Here is a 27,221-nt window from a genome sequence, read left to right on the forward strand (position 1 = left end):
ACATTCTTCGGGCTAGGATATTACCTCCCACTGCCTTTTTTTTCTGAAACAAAGTCTCTCTCTGTCGCCCAGGCTGGAGTGCAGTGGCGCGATCTCAGCTCACTGCAACCTCCGCCTCCCAGGTTCAAGCTACCAATCCCACCTCAGCCTCCCAAGTAGCTGGGATTACAAGCATGTGCCACCACACCCAGCTAATTTTTGTATTTTAGTAGAGACAGGGTTTCACCATGTTGGCCAGGCTGGTCTCAAACTCCTGACCTCAAGTGATCTGCCTGCCTCAGCCTTCCAAAGTGCTGGGATTACAGGCGTGAGCCACCATGCCTAGCCAGATATTACCCTTTAAAGGACTGCATGAGACCACATTAATGTGGTATTCTCCAGAAACATGAAGAGTCACTTAGATACTCCAAATACAAACTTCCACGGCTTTCAGCAGCTTAGGTTTATGGTGTGTGAGTGCCTGGGCTGAGCTGCACCATTTTCACTTTCTCTTGTTTCCGTGGTTAGTTCCCGGTATGCCCTAGCTACCAATAGCCCAAGGTAGGCAGTTGAATAGTGGGACAGTCTAAGGAGGCACAGCCACAGCCAAGCCTGGAAGGCAGACACTAAGGATGGTAAAGGAGGCTGTCCCTGCTTCTCCCTAAGGAAGCTCCACCTAGCCAAGGAGAAAGATTGCAAAGTCAAAACAGTCCTGCACTCAAACCTGGAACTTATTAGCTGTATGGCACTGGACAAGTCACATAATCTCGTTTCTTTGCCTGCAAAATGGATATAATATCACGTACTCATTTATAGAGCACCAACACTGGTGGGCCCTTAGCGAGACTCTCAGATTACAAACAAGAGTAAAGGTGGTCCACAGCCACATAAACAGATAGTTTCAACTGCATATAAGTATAATGATGGAGGAAGGCAGAGGATTATAAGCAGGAAGGCAGCCTATACGAATTAAATGAGATAATTTTTTAGAATTAAAAAATAAGAACTAAATGAGATAATGGTACACAAAGAATCTGCATGGAGAGGCACTCAGGGTAGATTCAGATTCACCAAGACAAATCTGTGCCTCTAGAGCTATAAAATATTCAGATCCTTTAGAGCTACAAAATGTTCCAATATCCTGTCTTAGGGAGAAGTCAACCAATGAATGATTTAGTTGGCAGACTAAGTATTAAAGCGGTCAAAACGGTGTATGGTTAGTTAGTATGCAGCATTAGGGAAAGTCCCTTCCTGCCCTCCCAGGGACCTTGCAACTTCCCTGGCCCAGCTTCCTTTTCTTTCTTCTGGCTCCTATCAAGCTTAGGGGGTTGCAGGGCGGAAATATATTTTGGACAGTCAGGCATTTCAGTTTTCTGTAAATCAGAGTAATAGATTCTTCTTCCCTGTAAAAATAAATGCTATGATGCAGTGAGAATATTAGACATGAACACCAAAAGCACACTGGTACTTCTTGTAGCACATTCAGGGAAGGGTGTTACCCTTTGGAAACAATGGCAGATGGAGCTACTCAGCCTAGAGTCTACGGACACTCATGAATTATGTATCTGGAAGCTTCTTCACATTCCTCTTTCTGCTGCTCTACAAGAACCATATTGAGTTACATGTCTCAGGAACTTTGAGATACATGTTATGTTACACTCTTATAAGAAACTTGTGAACTTTACCAGTAAAAGAGAATACTGCACATGTTTTTTACCTTGTTTTTATATCCCAGTGCCTGTGAAGTTTCCAAACACTCACATCTGGCAGGCTATTCAATTTATTCCCTGGTCACAAAATCATTTTTACACTTGATCCTCCCCGCAAATTATCCTTTTCCCTCTCTTCATAAAGAAAAAAAAAATCCTGATCTCAGCCTAAGTGAGTTTTTCTCAGATACTACCAACAGCTTCCCTCCTGGGCATTCCTCAATCCCATCTCTATTTCCAAGGTATATTACTGAGACCCTGAAGGTGGCAGCATTGCCAGTGTCCAGTTTCAGCCCAATCTGTGGCAGTATGATTAAAAGACCAATAAGCAAACCATGGTAGACAACTCTACAATGGCCCCATGATTCCCACCTGCTGATGTTCACACCTGCCTTTGTGTAACCCCTTTCTTTTGGGTGTGGACGGAAGCTGTGCCTTGCTTCTAACCAACAGAATACACCACAGAGAAAAGGCAGTCTTTTGATTACATATATGTAATTACGTTATGTAAGTCTATAATGCCTGCCCTGCAGGGAGATGCCCTCCCTTGCTAGCTTTGATGAAATAAGTGGCAATGTAGGAGAGGCTCATGTGACAAGGAACTGCAGGTAGCCTCCAGCTAACGGCCAGCAAAAACTGGTGACCTCAGTGAGCAGGTTGCAAGGAACTGAATGCTGCCAACAACCATGTAAGCTTGGAAGCGAATCCTTCCCCAGTAGAGCCTCAGATGAGACTGCAGCCTTGTAAGACTCACAGAGGGTGCTGCTAAGCTGTGCCCAACTGCTGCCCCACAGAAACAGTGAGACAATAAATGTGTGTTATTTTAAGTGACTACATTTGTGGCAGTACTGCCACACAATAGCAGATAACCACACAAACAACGTGAGAATGAGAAAAGCAGCCCCTGACGTCTGAAAGCTAGCCTGGTACTATTAGCAAGGCATTGATGTTGGTGGGAGGCTGACTTGCACTCATAACCAGGCCTTGTTGCAAAACATAAACAATTTCAAAGAACACCAATACCAGACAAGGCCACCCTATGACTATGAGTATGTCCGAACATGGACGAAAACATAAACATTGTCCGAATCACAAAAATGACCAAATATCCCCTATACTAGCTATTACGCATACATAGCTTTAACCTTGATTCATTTTCCCCATGTCTTAGAGATAAGATTTATTAAGATACTCATTGACAGACTCACCCTTCCTTACAGCATCGAACCCAAAGCAAAGCCCCACTTCCTTGAACCCTCCTTCAAGTCACCTTACATAAGTCCAAATCCTATACTAAGTCCTTTCTGACACATTCTTACTGAAAGGCCCCATGATTCCCATTGGTATGTGTTCTCCCTCACTACAAGCAGCAATATACCCAACTTGTTCAACCACAGATATGTTCCTAATTGAACAAACTAGGTCTTTGACTGGAGAGCACTGACAAAACAAAAACAAATCAAGCAAATAACAAAAACACCATGCATGACTTTACCACAGAACTGCATAAAATAGAAGTATAAACCAATAATACAAGAAAGAGGCCATACTCAGTTTAGCTATAAGACATAAAAATAGAATCAAGTATCTCCAAATGAGTAGAAAGAAATTATCTGACAAACAGTAGTAGGATAAGTGGATATGAATAGGAAAACTAGGACAGGTCCCCACTTTAGGCTAAAGAAGAATAAATTCTACATAGGTTAAAGAATTAAACATAATTAATAAAAGACCAGCTGACATGCATTAACTATTTTACCAGATCCATGGAAAAACAATGAACCTCTCATTTGGAAACAAGAATAAAAAAAAAAGACTGACCAACTTGGGTACAAATTCCTTGTATATAATGAAAAACAATACAAAAGTAAAATAAAGTGCCTGAGAAATACTTGCATCACAGTGACAATATATTTAAATCTGAAGTATAGACTTTATTCAAATTCACAAGGAAAACGTTACTCGAGTATAGTCTATAACAGACAATTCAGAGAAGAAAACACAGTAAACAGTCCTGTATTCAAACCTGGAACTTATTAGTTACATGGTACTGGATGAGTTCTCTGTAACCTGTACTTACACAGAACCATCTTCGATCCTCTCAGTGGTCTACAGAGCTGCCATTTTATAGTTGCTACAGTAACAAATTAGACAAACAAAAAAATCAAAGCTGGAAATATTGGGGGCATATGCTGGGAAGTCCCTTCACAACTGTTAGTATTTTACGTAGTTGTAACACACAGAGGGAGTGATAACCAATCATCCAACACCTAGAAAACCTCTCAGCAGAAACTATCTGATCACATTTCACAATATTATCCACAATGGCAAACAGAAACAACTTAAAATTGTGTCTAACAAAAAAAAGTTTAATGAACTGCGCTGTATTAACACATAAATTATGTAGTTATTAAAATAAATGGGAACGGCCAGCCACAGTGGCTGAGACCTGCAATCCCAGCACTTTGGGAGGCTGAGGTGGGAGGATGGCTTGAGCCCAGGAGTTCAACACCAGCCTAGGCAACATGACAAAACCCCATCTCTACAAAAAATACAAAACTTAGCCAGGCATGGTGGTATGCGCCTGCAGTCCCAGCTACTTGGGAGGCTGAGATGGCAGGATCACCTGAGCCTGGGAGACCAAGGCTAAAGTGAGCTGAGATTGTACTACTGCACTCTTTGCCTGGGCAACAGAGTGAGATCCTATCTCAGGAAACACACACAGCCACCCATACACACAAACACACACTTAGAAAAATAAAAATAAATAAACAAACGGGAAGGCTAGAAAATATTTAGGATGTGATCTGACAAAACCAAAAAGAATGAAGACTACAGTAATGAAAATAAAGCTATCAACAGCTGAAGAGTGCCAGGCACCGTTTGAGGCATTTTGGTCACATTTCATTTAATCTTCCCAACACCTGTCAGAAAAGTAATATTATTCTCATTTTATAAAGCAGATACTAGGGCAAAGAGAGATTAAATATATGGCCGAGGTCACACAGCTGGGAAATGGAAAAGGCAGAAATGAACCAAGATATGGCTTCAAATGGTGTGTTTTTAATCACTGCACTCACTCACTGTCCTACCTCTTTTAGACATATATGATGATTACAACTATACACAACTATGAAGATCTGGGAACAAGCACTGCAAAATAATATGCAAATGTGAAATAACTGCAATATGGGAATAGGATTAAAGGCAATTTAATTTTGAAAAACCATCAGCTTTAATGCTATACTACCTACCCAATGAAAACAACACAATTAAGTAATGAATGTTTGACACCTCCGCTTCTCCATTGGAAGTTTAACTACAGTCATCTCTTAGTATATGTGGGGGATTGGTTCAAAAACCACCTGCTTATGCCAAAATCTGTGCATACTCTGCAGTCGGCTGTACGGAACCCACATATATGAAAAGTTGGCCCTCCATATACACTGGTTTTGCATCCCATGAATACTGTAGTTTCCATACACATCTGGTTGGGAAAAAATCCACATGTAAGTGGACCCACACAGTCCAAACCTGTGTTGATCAAGAATCAACAGCATATATGTCCTTAGAAAAAATCTTGGCACGGCTTCCTGTCCAAATTACTCCTAATTTCACTCTTTTCTAGAAGAATGGAATGGAGGTAGAGAATGGTCCAAGACAGATAAACCAGAATGTATCCATCAGAGTTGGATAGAGATCACTGGTCAAGAGTGAGGAAGAAAAAGCTTATTAGGAGATAAAGACACAGAGAGATCCAGAAGGAGACGTGTAAAATGCAGAATAACTGGGGAAGTCAGGTGAGCTTTAGGAGTCCTAGGCAGGGAAAAGTGTGGAAAGAGAGATGCACTGCCAACCACAGGGGGCTCTGCCTGCCTGCTTTTTCCTCTTACAATCATCAGAGCTCCTACGTGCTCCCTGTAGAAACAGCAGTGGGTGCTCTATCCAGTTGTCATTTTTTTTTTTTTCTGAAAAACTGGGTTCAGCAATGCTATGTGGCAACATAAGGGCGGGTATAAACTCACACTCTTGCCATTCAGATGTGTGTGCTGACAGGAAACGAAGACACTTTCTTCTCAGACAGTGAGTTAATACTGTTTCCATAATTACATCTTCATTTGTACTTTTAGGATAACAAACATCCTTTTCTGGTCAAATTTCAGATGACACTTTGAGCAGTGTCATCTTTCCTAGGTGGTAATGGAAAGACAGGACACTCTGGATTCTATGAGATTGGACTAGAAAGCCCATGTTAAGAAACACTTACTTGGGGGAGTGGGGAAAACAAAGGAATCTCACCCTGAGACATTCCAAGCTGTTTTACTCACTCATATTCGCTTGCACAAGGGTCCTTCAAGTCTCCCTCCCAGAGGTTCCCACGGATGGCAGCACTAGGCATTTAAAACTGTTTCCCAAAAGTCTTGGGGGTGTTATAGCTGATAACGCCTCCAGATTACTGGGGACAATTTTTCCCTAACTGTATCACCTGTGCAATCACTTCAGAAGAATATGTCACAGAGAGTCAGGGCAGAGCTAATTTGTAGTAAAAGATTCTGAGAAAAGGAAAGCAAAGCTGGATGCTTCAACAGACATCAACATTTTAGGGGGACAGGGCTGGGGCAGGAGGGATGTGCAACAATGTCCTGTAAATCTGATTTTACTGATACCACATCTCAGCCACACCAGAATCAGTTATGTGCAAAATGATTAATCACCGTCTCCCTGAAATATTCAAGGTCTTCCTGCCTTTTCTTAGGATGGAAAAAAAAAAAAAAAGCAAACTCTGAAATATGATTTCAGGCTTTCCTTCATTCTATACTCTTTTAATAAAGTAGAACAAAAAATTCTGCCTCGGGTTTGGCTGAGTTATGGGGTTTATCTCCTAAGTGGCAAAGCTTCATTCCCTAGCCCAATCATCAAACTGAGCCCAAGTTATAAGAGGCCTGATAGAAAAGAAAAAATGCTCATCCCATACCCTCAGGCATGAATTTATCAAATGTGATAACTGCTCTGTGAGACAGGTTTTCTCTTTATATTTACAGAAAAGTGGGCACTGCAGGACAAAATTAATTTAACTAACGGGCAAGTGCTGATAGCCGGTTGTGCATGGTAAAGCCCAGTGTGTTTCTGACTAACGTGGCTGGTGAGTTACAAGAGAACACGGGGCACTGCTGGGGTAGTGGGGTAAGGAAGTGGGAGAACAAAGCCATGGAGCATTATCTGGGGCACAGACTCCAGCTGGGCCCCCACCTACCTTCTCTGCATACTCGGACACAATCTGCTTGATCTCAGCAGAGCAGAGTCCCACAATCTGGCCCACGGAGCTTGCGGTGAGACGGCTCTGCAAGTATATGGAGGGAATGTTCTCAAGGCCAAGCCTTGTCTTCCATAGCACTGGAAAATCTGAACACTCTATTATGTCTGAACACTCTATTATGGTAAAACATAATATTCCCAGGGGAAATAATTTGGCTTTGCCACATATTACCAACAGAAAGGGAGAAAAGAAGCCTCAGGACAAACACGCAGCTACCTCCTGAGTCACTGAGCGGATGGTGCTAAATCCTCCTCGGACCCTGGGCACCCCTGGAAAATGGTCCTTCCCTTCTATGTACCACCCCAAGGTCTCACCTCCTGAGAGTCACCAAACAGAGCCTGCAGGGGATTTGGCAGGCCTAGGACACAGGGAATAGAGAAGAGCATGGGAAAGGACAAAGAATCTCAGAACTCTAAAATATCTCTTTACTACCACAGGTCTTCCCAGGCCTCAAAAAGAATGATCCTTTCACATTGGCTATACCTTCTGGACAGGCTTTGAGCTCTGGAAAGACCAACTATAATCTCAAAATCCCGCTTCCTACCTAGATAGTGTAGGAAGAAAGCAGAAGACAAGAGCTGCCTCAGCATGAGGCATAACTCACGGGTCAGCTCTAGCTCTTCCGCAGAGGCCCTGTGAACCTCCCAGCAGGAATATTCTGCTTTCACAAGGGTCCTTCAAGCCTCCCTCCTAGAGGTTCCCATGGGTGGCAGCACTAGGCATTAAAAACAGATTAACAAAAGGAACTCCCTGGGGAAGAGGAGGTACTGTGTGCTGGTGAGAGGCAGCTCCGGAGAAGGTGGGCTCTCTGGGAGAAGACCCCAGCAGAGCAGGGTGGTGCCAAGTCCCCATCCCCACACCTCCCCGACTCCCACTCACCTCCTCATTTGCCATAGCGGTCATCTTGGTCATCAGCGACTGAATACGCTGCTGAAAGAGGAATGGAAGGGAGCAGCAGTGAGTGGTTCTGAACATGTAAGACAGAAGCAATATGCCTACATGGATCTTTGCGGTGATATCCAAGGGTGTCTTCCTTGATCTCGTCTTATGTGAGCCTCAAAGGCAGGTGATAAAATGAAACTGGAAGGTGTGAAAGACCTGCTCACAGCAGCTGGCTGTGGGAGGTGGTGGCCATTTGGGAACGCTAGGGATAAGAGTACGATTTCTCCCAAAATGACTTACACAGAAACCTCAGAGGGCCTACATGGACCACACACCTCTTCAGCTGCTCGAAGCTCATCTTCCTCGTGGGCATCAGCTTTTTCTGTAGCTGACAGCCCTGCTGGAAGTGCCGTTTTCTTGTCCTCAGCCTGCAAGGGAAGATGTGAAAACAGCTGAGCACGGGAGATGGAGACTCAGTAGAGAAAGGACAATACTGACAAGAGGCATGAGTCTGTGAAAAAAACACAGACCTGCAGAGCAGCAGCATCCTGAGAGAGTGGATACTCCAAACGGCTGAACCTCCACTAGAGTATAGGGTGGGCAGGTTAAGCTTCAGGAACTGGCAAATGCCTGTTTCCATGTCCCAGCTGCTCACTGATTAAATTCAGGCCACACACATTTGCCTGACTTACCCTTGCACTTTGACTGGGGCTTCCCCCTACTTTAACACTTTCAAGAGCAGATCACTACTAAAGGAGTGTTTCTTCAAACTGCCTGTTAAGACCAATTAGTGGGACATAAAAGTAATTTGGCAGGTACAACTAGCATCTGTATAAATTAACACAACAGAACATGCCAGAGTGCTTTGTAGTGAGGGGTTAGGTACTGCTTACTGAAACTTTTGTTTCAGGGGTATTAGTGTGTGTGTACTGAATCATGATGAAAAATTATACGTTTACTGCTCAGAGTAATCAAAACAGTTTGAATACCACTGGTGTGAAGGATGAAAACTGCCTTATCTAATGATCAAGCAGCATGCTCTGGACTCAGCCCCAGGCTCTAAATGAACCAGGTCAAACTCAAGGCACCCTGGATTAACTGCTGCCTCCTCAATCATGGGCTATAGGTTTTAATTCTATCCCTGCCATCCACCAGCTGGGTGACCTCAGGCTTACCTCTGATCCCTGCATGTTAAGGACTTCCAGGGTCAAAAGAGAGGTTTGGTCTCAAATGCCCTTCTTGGACCATCCCAACTCTAGGATGCTTTTCTATAACGAGTCTATCACTGCCCATGGGAACACTCCGAGCTCCTAACTGCTTGGACACATCTACAGGGGATGAGACTGCTAATTCAAATGTGCCGTCTGACATAAAAATGACAGGACAAGCACAATTTGAATACTATTTCAGGGACATCTCATGATTTTTCCAATCATAACCAAATTGCCCAGTCATATATAAAGACAATCTTTTCAGACTTAAATTACATATCAAATTAAATATACACATCAAACCCTTATTATATACCAGATAAAACATGATATACTCAAATCCAGAAAACACCCTGCTCTGTAGGAAATCATTATTCAGTTGACTAAAAAAACACAAATGGGGAAAAAATAATGAGAAAACTAAAAAAGAAGACATCATAATCAGTACATGACTAAGTACCAATAACTAATACTGATATTAATAATAATGTTTATTAAATGTTTACTATGTGTTGGATCATTCTAAGTCCTTTACATTTCAATCTTCACAATAATGCTGTGAGATAGGTACAATGACTGCCCCCATTTTACAGATGCTGTCAACTAATGTACAAAGAATCAGTAAATTATCCAGAGTCACTCAGCGAATAGAGGAGCTGGAATCCTAAACCAGCTAGTCTGGCTTTAGAACAGTGCTCCTAGTCACTGCTGGTGCCTGCAGCGACTGAGACAACAGTCAACACAGGAAGCAGAGGGGGAGCCTGGGGAGTGGGTACAATGGAGTGGGTGGCAGGGGAACAGCAGGGGGAGTGTGTCCTGTTCAAGAAATCTGGGGATCAGGTGGAGAATGAAAAGAGGTTAATAACCAATCTTTTTTTTTTTTTTTTTTTGAGACGGAGTCTCATACTGTCACCCAGGCTGGAGTGCAGTGGCGCGATCTTGGCTCACTGCAAGCTCCGCCTCCCGGGTTCACGCCATTCTCCTGCCTCAGCCTCCCGAGTAGCTGGGACTACAGGCGCCCACCACCACTCCCGGAGAATGTTTTTTTGTATTTTTAGTAGAGACGGGGTTTCACCGTGTTAGCCAGGACGGTCTCGATCTCCTGACAATAACTGAACTTTTTAAGAGGCCACTGACCACTATAGCTGACACTTTATTATTTAGAAGGCAGTGGCTATGAGCACAGGTTTGATGTCAGACCTCTAGGTTCAGATTCTTATTAAGTTCACTTTAGAGCTATGTGACCTTGGAAAAATCACTGAGCCTCTCTGAGCGTTAGCTTTCTGACCTAAAAAGCAGAAATAAACATCCTCCTCATAGAGTTGTTCAAGGCAGTAAGTGAAAACATACAGAGCCCTTAACATACAGCCTGGAACACAGAAAGAGTTTAGCACCATAACATTTATGTACCTGTCCTGCTGCTGACAATGAAGCATCATTAATAAACACATAAATTAACAGAAATCTTTGGGCATCCTTTGTGAAGTTAGAAAAGCCATCCTGATTTACCTGGCTCTTCCATGACTGGCTGTTTCAGCAGAGGGCAGGCCTGTAATTCACAGCTGTGCTCTACCTAACATCCTGTTCACATCTATTTAGAGTCTCACCTCAGATGAGGAGTGCTCTGGGAGCCCTGGCAGTGGACTTCACCTTCATACTGCAGAGCCACTAGACCCCAAGTGACTGACCCTAGGCCACAACTTTCAATCACCCCTCATTTCCAGCCCCAGGAGGAGACTGCTGCTTTGCTCCCCAGTCTGTAGAGGTGGCTAGCTAGAAAAGCCAGGACGGAGATGCAGGGGCCAAAGGCAGCTCACACATCCCTGGGTTTCCCAAGAAGCTGCTGCCCGGCTTGTGAGTGTTAGTCAGAGGTGAAGGGAGTCACTTCCATCTCTCAAGTATTCTCTCTTACTATCAATGTTTTTCTTACCTTCTCCATTTTGCTCTGGCGGCTAAATCCATATCTCCTGCAGGCCACAAAAAAGGAGTTTAATTACTACTTAAAAAATTACAATACATTCAGTGAAATGCATTTTGGTTGACTTTTTACATGAAAAACATCAAGAGAATTTATGCCATTTGGTGACTTGAGAAAACGTTACAAGTGCCTAAATTACAAACATATTCCACTGTCTTTTTAATAAAGGGCCAGCCACCCTACTTGCTATGCAAATACTATAATGTAAATTGGAACTCTCAGACAGTATGGAATGCAACATTTTCCTTAAGTGCAATTATGACTTTTTGAATCAGCCACTGCATTTCAGAGCCACGGTTTAAGCTAAAAGCCTTAAAAATATCTATATAAACAAATGTAAATGTGTTTCCTTAAGCCAAATATGCGCTTTAATGGCTACTTCCATAACTTAGAGTCTAGCACACTTTTTATTCCCAAACATAATCCAAGCATGATGCCAATAATGTGTACTCACTTCACACAACCTTAAATTAAAAAAAACACAAAAACACAATTCAGTTTCAAGTAGTTTATTTTCTGGCTCTAATTAATCTATGTTTTTTTAAAAAGCAAGTATAACAATGCAAAATCCATTCAACCCTCAACAAAAAGCAAAATGCAAACCACCCAGCCTCATACACCTTTAAGTGATTTGTAAGAAAATAAAGTTAATGCAAACATTTAAGAACAAATTGAGCCAGGCGCGCTGGCTCACGCCTGCAAAGTGCTGTAATCCCAGCACTTTGGGAGGCTGAGGCGGGCCTATCACCTGACGTCAGGAATTTGAGACTAGCCTGGCCAACATGGTGAAACCCTGTCTCTACTAAAAACACAAAAAGCAGCTGGGCATAGTGGCACACGCCTGTAGTCCCAGCTACTTGGGAGGCTGAAGCACCAGAATCACTTGAACCCAGGAGGCAGAGGTTGCAGTGAGCCGAGATCATAGCACTGGACTCCAGCCTGGGTGACAGAGCAAGACTCTGTCTCAAAAATAAATAAATGAAAATAAAGAACAAGTTTAAGGCTACTCTGTGCCTCACTTCTGGGTTGTGTGCTCACCTGGTCTTGGTCCTCCAGCTTCACTCCCCACACTCTTCCTGCCCATTCCTTGTCCAACTTCTGCATTGGCCTGATGCACATTTATCAATGGCAGGCCTCTTCCCTCAGAAGAAAACAGAACCTCCTCAGGAGCCTTATAAAGCCTCTCTTCCATGGCTCAGCCTAACAAGTGTTTCACCTCACCACCAGCAGCACCTTCTGTGTTCCTATTACACTTACTACCTGAACAGAGAGCTCTGCACAAACTAAGCTGTTCCCCTCTCGCCCCTGCTTCCCTACTCACCCTCCACTCCTCAGCTCTAAAGCTCCTCCCCTGTGAAGCATCCCCCATGCACATGTGCTCAGCCTGGCCTATCCATCCCTGCATCTGTTCATGCTCCTCTCACTTCCCAGATGGTGAATACATGCAACTGTTACTTATCTGTATCATTCTCCTGAGGGCAAAGATTCTACCTTTATATCTGGTTTTTCCAATATTCACTGAACAAACAAACTAAACATAAGTGAAAAAATGCAAAAATCAAGAAGCCAAAAGTATCATCTGACCTTGCAACAGATTGTCATATAACTGGGGAAACCAAAAAGTCACTGCTGGGCAGTATGTCCACCCTTTAGAAATAAACCTATAGGTCCAAAGTGTAGCAGACCAAGGTTAAATTTTGGCTATCCACACGAATTCTGTAAAGGACCTTATGGCAGATTCTGTGGACTGGCTTAATATCTATTGCATCTTCTAGTACTGCTGAGGCTGGAAAAGAGACTATTTTCCATACTCCCTTGCACCTAGGGTTCTGAATACTGTTAACGTTCCACCAATCAGATGCATTTGCTAGAGTTTTCAATATGGAACAGTTAAAGGAGGAAAGAGGGAAGCATAAAGGATCCATTGTGTTGGTGTGGATCACAGTAGAAACAGCCAGGTTCTGGGGCTAGCAGCTATCACAGTGGCTTCTTGGTTTTTCAGAGCTTCCTAATTTGACAGAAGCAGCGTGGTTTCCTTCCTTGTCAAGCCGCTATAGCACCAGCTTCCCAATCCTACAGGCTGCTAGCTAGCTTCCTGATTTTGGAGGCAGAAACAGTATCCTGGAGCTCCAGTTCTAATGTGAAGCTTGAGAGCTGACCCTGGCTCAGCCTAGTTCTCATCCAGCCCTGTAACCAATCCCTTCTGCTGAAACTAGTGGGAGGGTACTGTTTTTTCAACCAGGGAACCCTGAACAATACAAGGTCTTGCCCAAGTTTCCCACTCCTATAGTGTCCTTGCATCTTGAGTATTCATCTTTCCTTTTTTATGCCTTTAGTCTGTGGAGACTTTTAGGGCAGAAGACATAAAGCCCTTTATCTAAGGCCCAGGGACTTCACGGATTTTCCAAATAAGGAAGTGAACAACCAAATCTGAGTGACTTGATTCCTAGGACGAATCTACTCCTCCTTAAAGACAGAGGCTCTGGGAAGACTCTTTTAGTAAGCCCTCCAGATGTGAGCTTCTGTGACAGCCAACGCACTCATTGTATGGTGAACATAATTATCCCTCATGAGTAATCCGCTAAGCCTTTCTGTTGAGCCTCTGGAGAGGAAGAAATTTGCTTCATTCACTTTAAAAAAATATTTTAAAAACTGACATAATTCATATAATATAAAATTCACCATTTCAAAGTGTATTGCTCACTGGATTTTAGTGTATTCACTATGTTGTGCAACCATCGCTATTATCGAAATCAAGAAAAGCTCCATCACCTCAAAAAGAAACTCTGTTACTATTAGCAGTTAATCACAATTCTTCCCTCTTCCCAGCCCTTGGCTACCACTGATCTACCTTCTGTCTCTATGGATTTGCTAATTCTGGAGATTTCATAGAAATGAAATCACTCAAAATGTGGCCTTTGTGTCTGGCTTCTTTGACTCATGAGAATATTTTCAAAGTTCATCCAGGTTGAAGCATGAATCACTACTTAATTCCATTTTATGGCTGAATAATATCCCATTATATGAGTAAGCCACATTTTGTTTCATCAGCTGACAGACATCTGGGTTGTTTCTACTTTTTAGCAATTATGAATTGCTAAATTCATAATTGTGCAATATATTATGCAACATATTTACAGTGCTACTATAAATATTCATGTACAGCTTCATTCACTTCAATATCCCCATTGCCTGGCAGTTCAGTGCCTGGCACATAGTAGGTGCTCAATTAATGGTTGCTGCATGAATGAAGAGTCCACATGATTTTTCTAAAGGCCTCATCCATGTCACAAAGTAGTGAGATTTCCATGACAAAGCTCTGTCCTCAACTGCCTATTAACTACTGCCTCGCTTTCCTCTTTTCCTGTCAGCCCTGCCCGTTTCCCCCAAGTGACAGCTCTGATCCGCAGTGCCGCATGCTTCCATTTGCTCCTGCATTCCTCTTCTTTAGCTCTGATTCTTGCTACCTACACTGTTAGCACCAAAGAGCTCCTCCCATCATCCAGTTCACTTCTTCATACCTTAGTCATAGGACCCAGTCTTTAAATCAAGGATGTACATTTAGAACAGCACAGTACAAAAGAAATATAAAGAAGGACACACATACAATTTTTTAATTACTAGGTTAGTAGGTTCATATGACCAAGTTATTCCAAAGATAAACATTTCCCATTAACTAAATCAAGCACAAATCTTAAAATTTAAATTTAACTTAATTAAAATCAAAATTCTGTTCCTGAGCCACACTAGTCGCATTTCAATTGCTCAATAGCCACATATGGATAGTGGCTACCATACTGGACACCACAATTCTAGAAAACAAACTAACTTTCAAGAACAATTACCTCAGGCCAAACTAAGATGGTTATCTATTTGGAATATAAAACAAAATAGGGACATAAAAAGCCCTAAATACCAAGGACTGTGAACTTTGTTCTTTATTCATTTGACAAGAACTTACTAAATATCTTTTATGAGCATGTCATAGGCCTTATCATCATAGGAGACACAAACAGGTTGGGAGAGGTATGCCGTGTTTTATTTACTAACTACAGAATGCTGGAGTTAGCCTGTTCCTTAGTATTCAAGGCCTAACTTTGAGTTGCCTAGAATGACTTCAAGAACTCAAAATTAGGCTTTGAATACTGAGGAATAGGCTAACTCCAGCATTCTGGTGGCTGTGCTCCAAACCTCCTCTTGCAAGTCAAATATATGGCACATAAAATGCATTTCCCCAGAGTAGCAGTTTCATAGCACGGTTAGGTGCTTAAGTTAGCCTCTCAAAATTGACTGAACCCATAACAAAACTGAAATATTATAGGTGTGCAATTTTGTTTACATCCAAAATCAAAACTATAAGTCTTGTTTTCCTAACACCATTAACACTTAGAAAAATATACCCAAACTATGTTTTTAACAGATAAACAGTCCTTAAGGCCTTCAGCATAGTTGACAAGGTTCATAATTCACCTTTATTTAAGCAACTGAGAGTCAAAATGGGGGAAGGAGATGGAATGCGGACCTAAAAGCCAAAGGGCACTGTGGGTGTAACGCTGATGAGTGACCTTCAACCCCAAGGAAGAAATACTGATTTCAGACCTTCTTGCTCTAGAAGTCAAAATACTTTCCCCCTGACAAGAGGTAAGATAAGGTAGAAAATAGAAACACTGGAAGAGAGATCTGGACTCCTAAAGCTGTGATGCCATAGTGTAGTGGGGGGGGGGGTGCGTGAGGAAGTCAGGAATGCCGCAATGTTAAAGGGAAAGGGAAGATGGAGCAAAGTGAGTCCCAGGGCCAGCAGGGGGCCAGCCTTGTTTGACAGGGGCAGGGGAGAAAAGGCCAGACTTCCCATACACATGCTAGAGGGAGGGCTAGTGTGAAGGGTAATAAGTGAAGGAGTCCACGGGCTGTTGCCCCCAAATATGGCACCCTAATATGCTGAATAACTTGAATTAAAGGCACTTGAAGGTCACATGTTAGAACAGGGTTTTTTCTCTTATCTATATAAAGACTGGACCCGTTAAAGAAAACACAAGTGTCTTCCATCCACTCCCTGAAATCTCATTATCTACCACAGAGCAAGAGACTGAAAATTAAATACCACGCCTAGAACCCAAACCATGGTCTGTTTCCCATCCTATTCAATTTCCAGAAAGTCATTTATTAACCATGGTCTGATTCATTTCCCCTAAACATCATTTACTACCCCTCCAATTGGCGTATTTCCCTATCTGCCTTCCCCTGTGAAGAAGGACATATAGGCATCTGGACATCACTGGGTTACTGGGTAGTCACACTTCTGTGGTTTTCCCCCCACACAATAAATTATGTATGCCATTTTCTCCTGTTAATCTGCCTTTTGTCAGTTCATTTTCAGTGAACCTTCAGAGGGCCAAGGGGAAGCTTCCCCTCTTCACTCATACATAAACACACAAGGACAAGGAGAACTGTAAGGGGAAAAGGTCATATCTGAGGGCATTTGAAAACTGAACTGTTGCTGCTAATAATGATGATTATAATAAGGAGAATGATGACAGCAGCCAATGGTTAACATTTACTGTTTTCTACATTGAACAAACTGCTCAAAATTATATATATATATATATATATATATATATATATATATATATATATATAGTCATATAATCCTCATTTAATGGGAAAGATCTCCATGCAGTGGAGAATGCTGAACAGAACCTAGAGGAAACAGACTGCCAGAAAGGAAGGGAGAAGCCTTCCCAGGGAGGTGGAATAGAACACACACTTGTTGGGGCTGTACATTTTATCTGATTTGCTCTGTCAGTTTTAATAACCATTCTCTTCTTATTTAGTTTCAGACCAAAGAATAGACATGCCCAGTCTTCCTAAAACTCAGAACCTAAAAATATACTCTCACTGAAGGCTCAAACAGTATTTGCAGACAATGATAATGACATGCTTTTGAAGTTCAAGGTATCTTAGTTGAAGTGCCAATCTGAGCCTCTTTATAGTTTATGACCTTAAGAAAGTCATTTTTTAACCTTTCTGAATGTTGTCATTATTAGTCTCAAAGAGGAGAATGAGCTAAATATACTATCAGAATGTCCTAAGTACCCACTACTCCACCTGCCACAAACTTACCCTCTCCTTGCCAAAAAAGCTAAAAAAACAAAATAACATCTCTCTCCCACCCAAAAAAAACCCCCAAACCTAAAACCTTCAGGAAATGCCCACCCTAGCCGTAGAAATTAGCAGAAGTCAGCATGACCATACCAACAGGAACCAGGATTGGTATCAAGACACTGCTCTTTCTCACTCTCAGAGTTTGAGAAGAGTCAAGCAAAATCTGTCTTGCTTCCTTTCCTAAAGAGGCCAAGCCAGATTCTCACCTCAAACTGCATCAATCACTCCTGATGACAGACAGGGAGGTTCTGAACTTTCCCAGCCTTCAGATGGTGATACTAGCTACTATCTACAACATATATACAAAAGATCCCATTTGAACCTGAGAATTTCAGAACAAGAATACTGATCTAGAATTCTGTCAACATGGTCTCAGCGAGGTGGGCAATTTACTGAATTTCTAACTCCTTTTCACCCTCAGGAAAATCCTATTTTCCATGATGATGGAAAAATGGATGCATAAATAATACAAACTCACAAAATCCACTACATTCTGCCAAGAACTTCTTCATTCTGGGACACGTGACACCCACAGAGATTGTCTCTCCAGCTCTGGCTCTCCCAGAGCTGTGCAGCCTCACCTGCTCACTTACAGCTGGGCATGGCTAGACAGACTCTGTCATGATTCCCAGGGCTGGCTTCCTGAGCACACAACCCGTCCACTAGCACAGGGCCCCATGCTTAGAAGAGTTCTCACTTGGCTGTTGTTGTTGTCTTTAAATTCTTAATAATTAATCATCATTAATAACTGCTAACAAGTTACTTGGCATTTTCACTACATAGCTAGTCCTGGTGATGCCTGACTTGGAGGAGGCATTCAATTCACAGCAGCAACTAGTGAACTGTGGGGGCAGCCATCACACGCAGCCTAGGGCCAGAACTACTTCAATTTCCTTAGAAACAGACTAGTTTTTATTCTTAGGAAGAAAAAACAAAACAAAACAAAAAAAAAAAAACATAAGCAATTGCATGCAATTCCATTTGGAAACTAGAATAATTAAACCTAATTTCCTGCTGGTTCTCTCTGGTACCCTAGAGGGCAGGCAAAGCCATCAGATGCTCACTTAGGGAAACGCCAGTGGCAATGCAGTTAGTTCCAGCCACCCTACAAGGGTTGGGCTGTGAGGCAGAGCAGCACACAGGAGCCTCTCCCAACACAAAGGAAGCACAAGGAGACTTACTCACATCAAGGAATCAGTTACCCTGAGAAGAGAATGCGTGACATAAAAGGTTAATACCCAGTGACAAGCAAAAAATTCAATGGGGAGAAGCATGTCCTTGCACTTTTTTTTAAAGTAAAAACTAAGGATATAAAATAAGATTTTTTTTTTTTAAACTAGAGATGTTTTTAAGAAGTGACAAAACTACTTCTAAGTTCTTCATTTTCCTAGTTAGGACAATATTCACAGGAAATTGAAATTATTATTCTAACACTTAAAGTGAAATCACTGAAACTGTTTTCATTTACCTGAAGATTTTAACAAACAGGGGCATGCAGGACAGAGTACCTCAGCCTCTGTAAATGCCTGGAACACCCCAACTCCCAAAGGAAGGCAGAGCCAGGTGCACATTTCCAGAGAGGAATTGCAAAGGATGCCCACAGAAACAGGTAATTCATTACCAGAGAAAAGTCCCTGATGTTGGAAATCTCATGGCTGAAGGCAGAAACTCAATCGGGTAGAAGCTAGTCAAGTTAATCCAAATGAAGCAACTTAAATTAGCTTTTCTTTTAAAAGAGACACCTAGACTGGGTCCCACTCATTACCTGCCATATTCCAAAAGTGTAGCATGGATTCGAGATTCTTCATCAAGTAGCTCCTCTGCTCCCTGGTGGCGTTTGTATTTCCGACGGGGCTTGTACACTTCCTAAGTGGATGAGACAGCCAAGTTACTGAGTGTGAGAAGGCTCTCCTCCTGAATTGGCTGCTGGATGCCTCCAGCCATGGGGTATATTCTCTTTTTTTTTTTTTTTTTTTTTTGAGACAGAGTCTCGCTCTGTCGCTCAGGCTGGAATGCAGTGGCGCGATCTCGGCTCACTGCCAACAGCTCTGCCTCTACCGTGGGGTATATTTTAAAATTATACACTTGCACACATATATATCCTAAACGAAATACGTGGCATGTAGTAAGTGATCAATAAATGCAGGTCTTCAGCCCCAATGAAGTGGTCTGCCATGCTACCCCAAATCAATGTCCTTCTTGACTGCTAAGCTGGCTGTCAAATAATACCCTAGTAATATCTGCTCAGGTCTCCGGGTGCAGGTAGGCAGCTGCTATGCCAGCAAGGTATTCGGGCTGCTTGTCCCCACATCTCTCTTCTTCCCTACTACCCGGGTTTACTGCATCTAATCATTACCTGGATATCACCACAAAAAGCATTACTACCAGGTTTTACCAGATACTGGCATTTTATTTTAATTGGAATTGTTCCCCATGGATAATTCTGGTTAACTTTATTATTTTACTTTAGTATACAGTTTCGAGCATACAGAAAAACATTCTTTCTGTAACACATACGATATAATCTCAAACAATTTTGTGGAAAAGGAAATGGATCAGGGCCTGAGATGATGCTAAAGGTTGTTCTTAGAAATTCCTGCCACAAATATTCCCCAGTTTACTGCTGGTGTCTACACGAATAGGAAGCTATAAATAACATAAAACAGACTTGCAGGGAGATGCAAAATATAATCAACCTACATGGTGTCAGTTACTGTGCCTGGTTTAGCTTCCACTGAGCTCTACTATTACAGCTTGAGCTTAACTGCTATTGTACTTAGTTACAATTGAAAGAGTCAGTAACCCAAGGCAAGAAATTGGATTCTTCTATTAAAAAAAAAAAAAAAAAAAGGATTGACTCCAAAACAAGAGCATACTGACACCAACAGCTAAAAGGACCTTTTATTCCGCCAAACAATGACAATGTTGGCTTTTGTGAATTATTCCTTACATGTTAAAGTATAAATCTTCATATATATCTCACCTTTCTTTTACACTTTATAAACCACACTGTGAAGTAGAGACAGGGCACATACCATCAACCTTACTTTACTATTGAGGAAGCAGACACTGAATAATTTGTCCAAGATCCCTGGGACACTACGCGGCCTAGCCCTAGGTAACCTGGTTTCTCATTTCAAGGCTTGTCCCTGACACTACCTTGCCCCAGGCTGCCACTCTAGCCACCCACCAGCCATTTCAGCTAGCCCTCTCACAAGACTCATTCTACAATCTGAAGCTAAGTAATGCAACCTAAATATCAGGGGTTTACAGGCCAACTATAAAGAGCTATTGCTAAGTCACCCTTTAAAGCAACAGGGTCAAGAATGCTGATGTCTAGCCCTATCTCTGCCACTAATCAGCTGCATGACCTTGAGAAAGGCAGTTCCCCTCAATGGGCCTCAGTTTCTGTATCTATAAAATGAAGTTGTACTAACAGATCTTGAAGGATGCTCCCAGGGTCTCTTCCTTTGTATTATTTTAATCCTGTAAAGATACTGGCTTGGTAACATAATTCCTTAAAAAATGTAGTCTGAGATTAATAAAAAATCTACCATGCTTTCCATGATGTGCTCTTAAAAAGGAATATAAAATCAATTTATCCTTCTGTCATTAATAGTGGTAGCAATTGTAATAGTTATCACTTATTGAATAGTAGGTATGTGCCAGGCACATTCTGCTGTATCTGTGCTGTCCATTTGATCCCCACATCTGAGTGTAGTTATCCTTGTTATCTTTCTATAGACGAACTTAGGCACAAAGAGGTTAAAAAACTTGCTGATGGTGAAAAAGGCAGTAAGCGATAAAAACAGGATGACTCCAGAACTGAGACACTTAAGCACTCTGCAAAATGTCTCATACCTGTACTTTCATCACCCTTTATCTAGGTTCTGATACATATATATATATCAGATATATATATATATGATATATGTATTTATTTTATTTTATTTTTTTGCAGATGCTAAAAGGCACACACACAGGGTTAAATATTAAGGTGACCCTTTTGTAAAGCAGAGAACTCTTACACTGTGAGAGTCAGAGCTCTACTTTGCCTGTCTGGGTTACAAGTCAGGTTCACCTGTCAGAGTAATTACTCTAAGTTCACATTCCTCAATGCAGGGAAGGGAGGTAGAACAGCACAGTACCATGGCAGTGTCTGCAGCAAATCCCTGATCGCTTCCCTCACAATTACCATAGACAACTTTTTTATTGAAATAATGGAGCAGGCAGTGAAACAGCCACCGCCAATCTGGCATTCTACACTCAAAAGCTCCTGTGGGCCAGCCCATGCCCAACTCAACAGGAAGCGATACTTTCCATTGACCTTAACAGTTCATCTTTGCAGCCCAAACCCAACTCCAACAGATCCATCTTACTTAGCCTATGTGTCCCGTCAGTAATTCTGCCTTTCACCTAAAGGGACCCCATAGATGTTTTCACCACCAAGTGCAATGTCCTGAAAGATCTCATAAGAAAAAGTTACTATAAATGGGACAAATAAGTGCTTCTTAAAAATTCTCACATTAATAAAATAACAAAAATGAAGTGCCTGGGTATTGACTGAAAGAAATGATGAAAGATGGATGGATGGCAATCATTTCTGTAGAATTTCCTCCAGTGACACCCCTCACCCCTGTTCTTCCATTTTCTTTTACATGAGCTCTGCTATGTAAGTATACATCTTCTGCTCTTTGAAGTATGGCACAAGCCCCACCTCAGGTCTCCTTGAGTCTGCACTAAACAGTATGACTTGGTGGGTAAGAATAAGATCACTGAGGGTTATATAAATGAGCTAAAGATGGCTCCTGGGTTGTTTACTTCTTCACAGAAGACTGACAACTATTGGCTCAAAAGTTGACCAGCACAAACTCAAATTTTTACATATCAAAATGTTTTATACATAGCCTAAATAATCAGACTTTTTGTCATTTAGAGCCTGCCTACTTTGCAAACCCTTCAAAACTGTTGGCATTTTCCAACCACGGATAGGATAAACCCTATGGCTAGGTAGACCTCAAGCCACTGGGGCTCTTCATAGGTCTCTGACCACAGACTCCCCCCTGTGTGATGCTGAGCAACATCACCAAGACACATGAGCCTCCTCTATGATCTTGGAGAGTTCCTTTCCTCTCCTCCTACTCTGGATGTGGCCCTTGCATGCAAGCTTCTGGATGGTCTCATGGTATAAGGGACTCCTCTACCCTGCAAGCAAACCTGTCAAAGCATCACCCAAAGAAAGCTTATATATGCTACTGCCACCTTGCAGTCAGGTCGTTCTTCTTGATCAGTCCTCAAACTCCTCACTAGCTGGAATGTCACTACTGTTGCCTCAGCTCCTTGAACATGGTCTGGCATATAGTAAGTGTTCAATTAATATTACTGAATGAATACATGGAGTCAAACAAGCTAGAGTTTTAATGCTTGCTCCATTGCTTACTATACCTCTCTGACTTGAGGCAAGTTACTTTAACCTCTGTGGTTTTCCATCTGCATATTAGGTATAAGCAGAGCTGTTACGAAAATAAACTAATCGGTATATTTAATAGTACCTGACATATAGTAAGGGCTAAGATATATACATATTTACATGCATATGGATGTGTACTATTATTAACATTGCTTTACTTAGTTCACTACATTTATATTTTACAAGCTGAATGAAAAGGACTTCCTCACAGCATTCCCTATGGAAGAACACACTGGACTGGTAACTTTAAATGGCAGTCTCTTAGATGATCCGGTAAGTTCCACAGTGCACTTCTTTCCAACTAGTCTGGAAGCTCTAAGAAGTCTTTTCTCTGTCCCCTCTATTCTCATACAAAAGTCTAAACTACCAAAAAAATGCTGACAAATAGTAAATGAATGTATCTTTTGGGTCTGGATAAAACTGTGTGGGCACCTGTTATTCAAGGTTAAGAGGGAGTAAAAGACCTCACTTCACAGGACAGACACTTCATGGCTATGGAGGGCTGACATCTCAGAGGAGGAAGCTGTGTCACAGCACAGTACATGAGACAGAGGAGCTGATTATGATTATGATGTGAAAGTGGAAGGTGGTAGTTTCCACTCCTTATGTCCTTTGAAAATACCACCTCCTGTTGGGCAGGCCTTCTACAAAGCAGCCAGCTATTCTGTGCAAAGGAGATAGGGAGAAGAAAGTAATGCACTTCAAAGAAGAAAGCAGGTACTGGGAATAATCTCCTGAAGGAAGAAAAATAAAGCCAAGACAAAAACAGAACACGCCCATCATAAGCTCGGATGATAAAGTTCACAGCGGCCTTTCTGCCTGGCAATCTGGCAAGAAGTATTAAAAGCCTTAGGTATAATCTTGACCAATTCCACTTCATGGAATAAATCCTAAGTAAATAATTAGAAATAAAAGAATAAATTTAGCTATGAGGATGTCCTACATAATGGCCAAGTGAAGAAAAAAAAAAAAAACAGAGATACAAACTATAGTTGAACTAGTTCCACACAATTAATAATCTACAGCCACTAAAAATGCTATGGAGGTATCTTTATTGGCATGGAAAGATATCCTCAATATACTACTGAGCAAAATGAGCAAGCAACAAATGAGCAAGCAACAAAACAGAATATATAGTACAATGCCATTTTTTTTTTGCAATCTCTGATTCTCCATACTGATATTCACAACTCTTTATTTCCTGCTTGCAGTATCAGTGGTTATCCCTGGCTCGTGGTATCATGGGTGATTTAGTTTTTGTTTTTCTCCATTTCCTAATTTTTCATTCTTATTACAACAGCATTAGTACAAAAGAAAAAAAAAACTTTGAAAACAAAAAATCATGCACCAAAAAAATGAATGGGCCACATAACCAAAGATGAATGCAAAAAATTCAAACAGTCTTCTAAGGATGGCTAAAGACAATAAGCTAAAGATTCAATATTTAAATACTTTTATGTTATGTCTAAACAAGAATAAGTAAAAGCCTGTTGGTTGAGACACAAAGGCATCATGCTGATCAAAAAGATAACAACAGGACAGCTCCCACCTGGCATCCATTCTTTGGCTGGGCAACAGGTCTTCAGATGAGAAATCAGCCAATGTTCTCGTAAGGAAATGAAGAGGTGGTAGGAGAGGACCCAACCACTCTGTAGGCATTTGAGTCTCTGGGACCCAGAGAAGCAATATCCCAGGGCCCTGAAGTAAGTCAGTAATAGTACTGCAAAACTGGTGCTAGGAATATGTGGGAAAGCAGAGAGCAGGTGAAAAGCCAGAAGAGAGGAGGAGTGCCGACACCTGCTGTGTTAGAGTCAGGTGTAATGTCAAAATCTGACTCCCTCTTCCTAGCTCTGCAGCTACACAGGGAATTTATCAACCTTTCTAAGCTTCAATTTCCTGACTTGTAAAATGGAAATAATAACATATAACTCCTGGAGTGTTAACGAGGGATAAAGGAGCTAATGCTTGTTAAATGCCTATTGAGATGCCAAGCACCTGGTAAGCACTTAATAAATACACAGCAGCTCCACACCTATTTTATAAAACGCTGGGTCTAAAAACTAGGCATCTACATGTCTGACCTTATTTTATTCCTTAATTTTCCATTCACAACTTAAAATTAAGGATTTCCTTTCCTTTATTAAAGGAGGGATTTTCCTTGAGGAGCATGACAATAATTAAAGTTTTGAGCTGTTTAATTTTTTGTACTGACTCACAAGAATAGGTCAGGGATATGCACCACAGCCCTAGAGTTTCTGAGACCTTTTGGGACTCTCATTTCAAGTCAGCTAAAGAAGGGCTTGCAGAAGTGGTAGAAGGGAGGGAGGAAAGTTAATGGTGACAGAGCTCGCTAAGAAACCTACGCAGACAGCTCCTGGAAGTGAGGGGTGTTTAAGCAGATGAGGAAAAGAAAAACCCAAAGGCAACCTTTAGCCATCCATGAAGATTCTTTATCATTCCTGCTGAAAATGTATTGCCAATCAACTGAGGATTAAGTTCACTCATAAAAAAGGAAATAAACTAAACAATACAAATTATAACCAGGGACTCACAATTTTTTTCCATTCCCCTTTTTATTTATTGTTTTGAGACAGGGTCTCACTCTGCCACCCAGGGTGGAGTATAGTGGCATAATCACAGCTCACTGCAGCCTCAACCTCCCCAGGCTCAGGTGATCCTCCCACCTTAGCCTCCTGAGGAGCTGAGACTACAGGTACATGCCACCATGCCTAGCTAATTATAGTATTTTTTGTAGAGATGGGGTTTCACCATATTGGCCAGGCTGGTCTCGAACTCCTGGGCTCAAGCGATCTGCCCACCTCGGCCTCCCAAAGTGCTAGGATTACGGGCATGAACCACCAGGCCGGACACGTTTTCCTTTATTCTGATACTATTTTCTCATCAGCTGCGAACACCATTTTATCTAGAGGCTCACAGCAGCACAGTTACAAGACTGGGTTTGAATCCTGCCTCTACCATCACCATTGTGACACTGGGCAACTGATATATAACCTACCTGTGTTTCAGTTTCCTGATTTATTAAAAAGCAACAACAACAACAAACTACTACTTCATGGGATTGTTGTGAGGACTAGATGAGTTAGAGATGAACACCCAGAACAATGTTTGGGGCACTATGTAAATATCTGTCATTATCACATATTCCTTAATTCTCTGCAACCACATTACCAAGCAGAAGTGGATTAAAAAAAAAAACCTCCATTAAAAATGAGAAGAAAAAATAATGTGCCTCTAGGGGCTTTAACTAATCCATAGGCATAGAGATGCCAGGCTCAGTTTCATTACCAGGATGATTGACAGCTATGCTGGCTTTTGCTCTATGGCCGAAAACTGTACCATTTTCTCATTCTCTACCCAGGGCTCAGAGTGAGATTTACACATAAAGATATTCGATTAAGCATTAAAAATTTTTAATGTTTGGGCCGGGCACTGTGGCTCACGCCTGTAATCCCAGCACTTTGGGAGGCCGAGGTGGGCGGACCTCGAGGTCAGGAGATCGAGACCATCCTGGCTAACACGGTGAAACCCCATCTCTACTAAAAAAACAAAAAGTGAGCCAGGTCTGGTGGCGGGCGCCTGTAGTCCCAGCTACTCGGGAGGCTGAGGCAGGAGAATGGCGTGAACCCGGGAGGCAGAGGTTGCAGTGAGCCGAGACAGCGCCACTGCACTTCAGCCTGGGAGACAGCGAGACTCCGTCTCAAAAAAAAAAAAAAAAATTAATGTTTGAATGTGGCTTTTGTTACCAAAAAAAAAAACAAAAAACACCTTAATGTGTACTTACTGTTTTGAATAGGTAATGCACAGACTTAGAATAAAATTCAAATAGTACAGAGATTATAGGAAAAAGACAATTTCCCCTTCTCTCCTGCTGCTGGCCTAGCAATTTCCTGCCTCAGAGGTAACATGATTATCACCTTGTTTTCATATCATTCCAGAGATGAAGTAACATTTAAAACAGGGGAAAGCAATTATCATATCCAACTAACTGGTTACTATTTGTCATGAGAAATGTAGTTAGCAGGAATCTTTGTTGTGTTTTTGTTTTTGTTTTTGTTTTGAGATGGAGTCTTGCTCTGTCGCCCAGTCTGGAGTGCAATGGCACGATCTTGGCTCACTGCTACCTCTGCCTTCTGGGTTCAAGCAATTCTCCTGCCTCAGCCTCCCAAGTAGCTAGGATTACAGGGGTGTACCACCACATCCAGCTAAATTTTGTATTTTTTGTAGAGATGGGGTTTCACCATGTTGGCCAGGCTGGTCTTGAACTCCTGACCTCGTGATCCACCCGTCTCAGCCTTCCAGTGTGCTGGGATTACAGGCGTGAGCCACTGTGCCAAGCCAGCAGGAATCTTTTAACAGCATACAAAAGCCCCTACATTGGTAAGTGAAAAAACCACAAAATTATCTTTAAAGTATGATTCCAATTCAGTTTAAAAATGCACAATAAAAACATGGAAGAAATATGTCCAAAAATTAAAAGCGGTTGCTTCCGTGT

The 27,221-nt window shown here is 41.9% G+C and overlaps 1 protein-coding gene across 6 annotated transcripts in view; it reads right to left on the reverse strand.

Moving 5' to 3' along the window:
- Positions 1-27,221, reverse strand: part of CCDC93 (CCC complex scaffolding subunit CCDC93) — a 98,590-nt gene that overhangs the window by 51,485 nt on the left and 19,884 nt on the right. For all 6 annotated transcript variants that reach the window (XM_011511359.2, NM_019044.5, XM_011511361.1 and 3 more), the window contains 5 exons: positions 19,004-19,104; positions 11,029-11,065; positions 8,223-8,315; positions 7,885-7,935; positions 6,943-7,029 (listed from right to left, as the gene is read on the reverse strand). In XM_011511359.2, the coding sequence (XP_011509661.2) occupies positions 6,943-7,029; positions 7,885-7,935; positions 8,223-8,315; positions 11,029-11,065; positions 19,004-19,104 (369 nt within the window). The remainder of the gene's footprint in view (positions 1-6,942; positions 7,030-7,884; positions 7,936-8,222; positions 8,316-11,028; positions 11,066-19,003; positions 19,105-27,221) is intronic.

Source organism: Homo sapiens, chromosome 2 (genome assembly GCF_000001405.40).
Source record: "Homo sapiens chromosome 2, GRCh38.p14 Primary Assembly".
Classification (NCBI taxonomy): domain Eukaryota; kingdom Metazoa; phylum Chordata; class Mammalia; order Primates; family Hominidae; genus Homo; species Homo sapiens.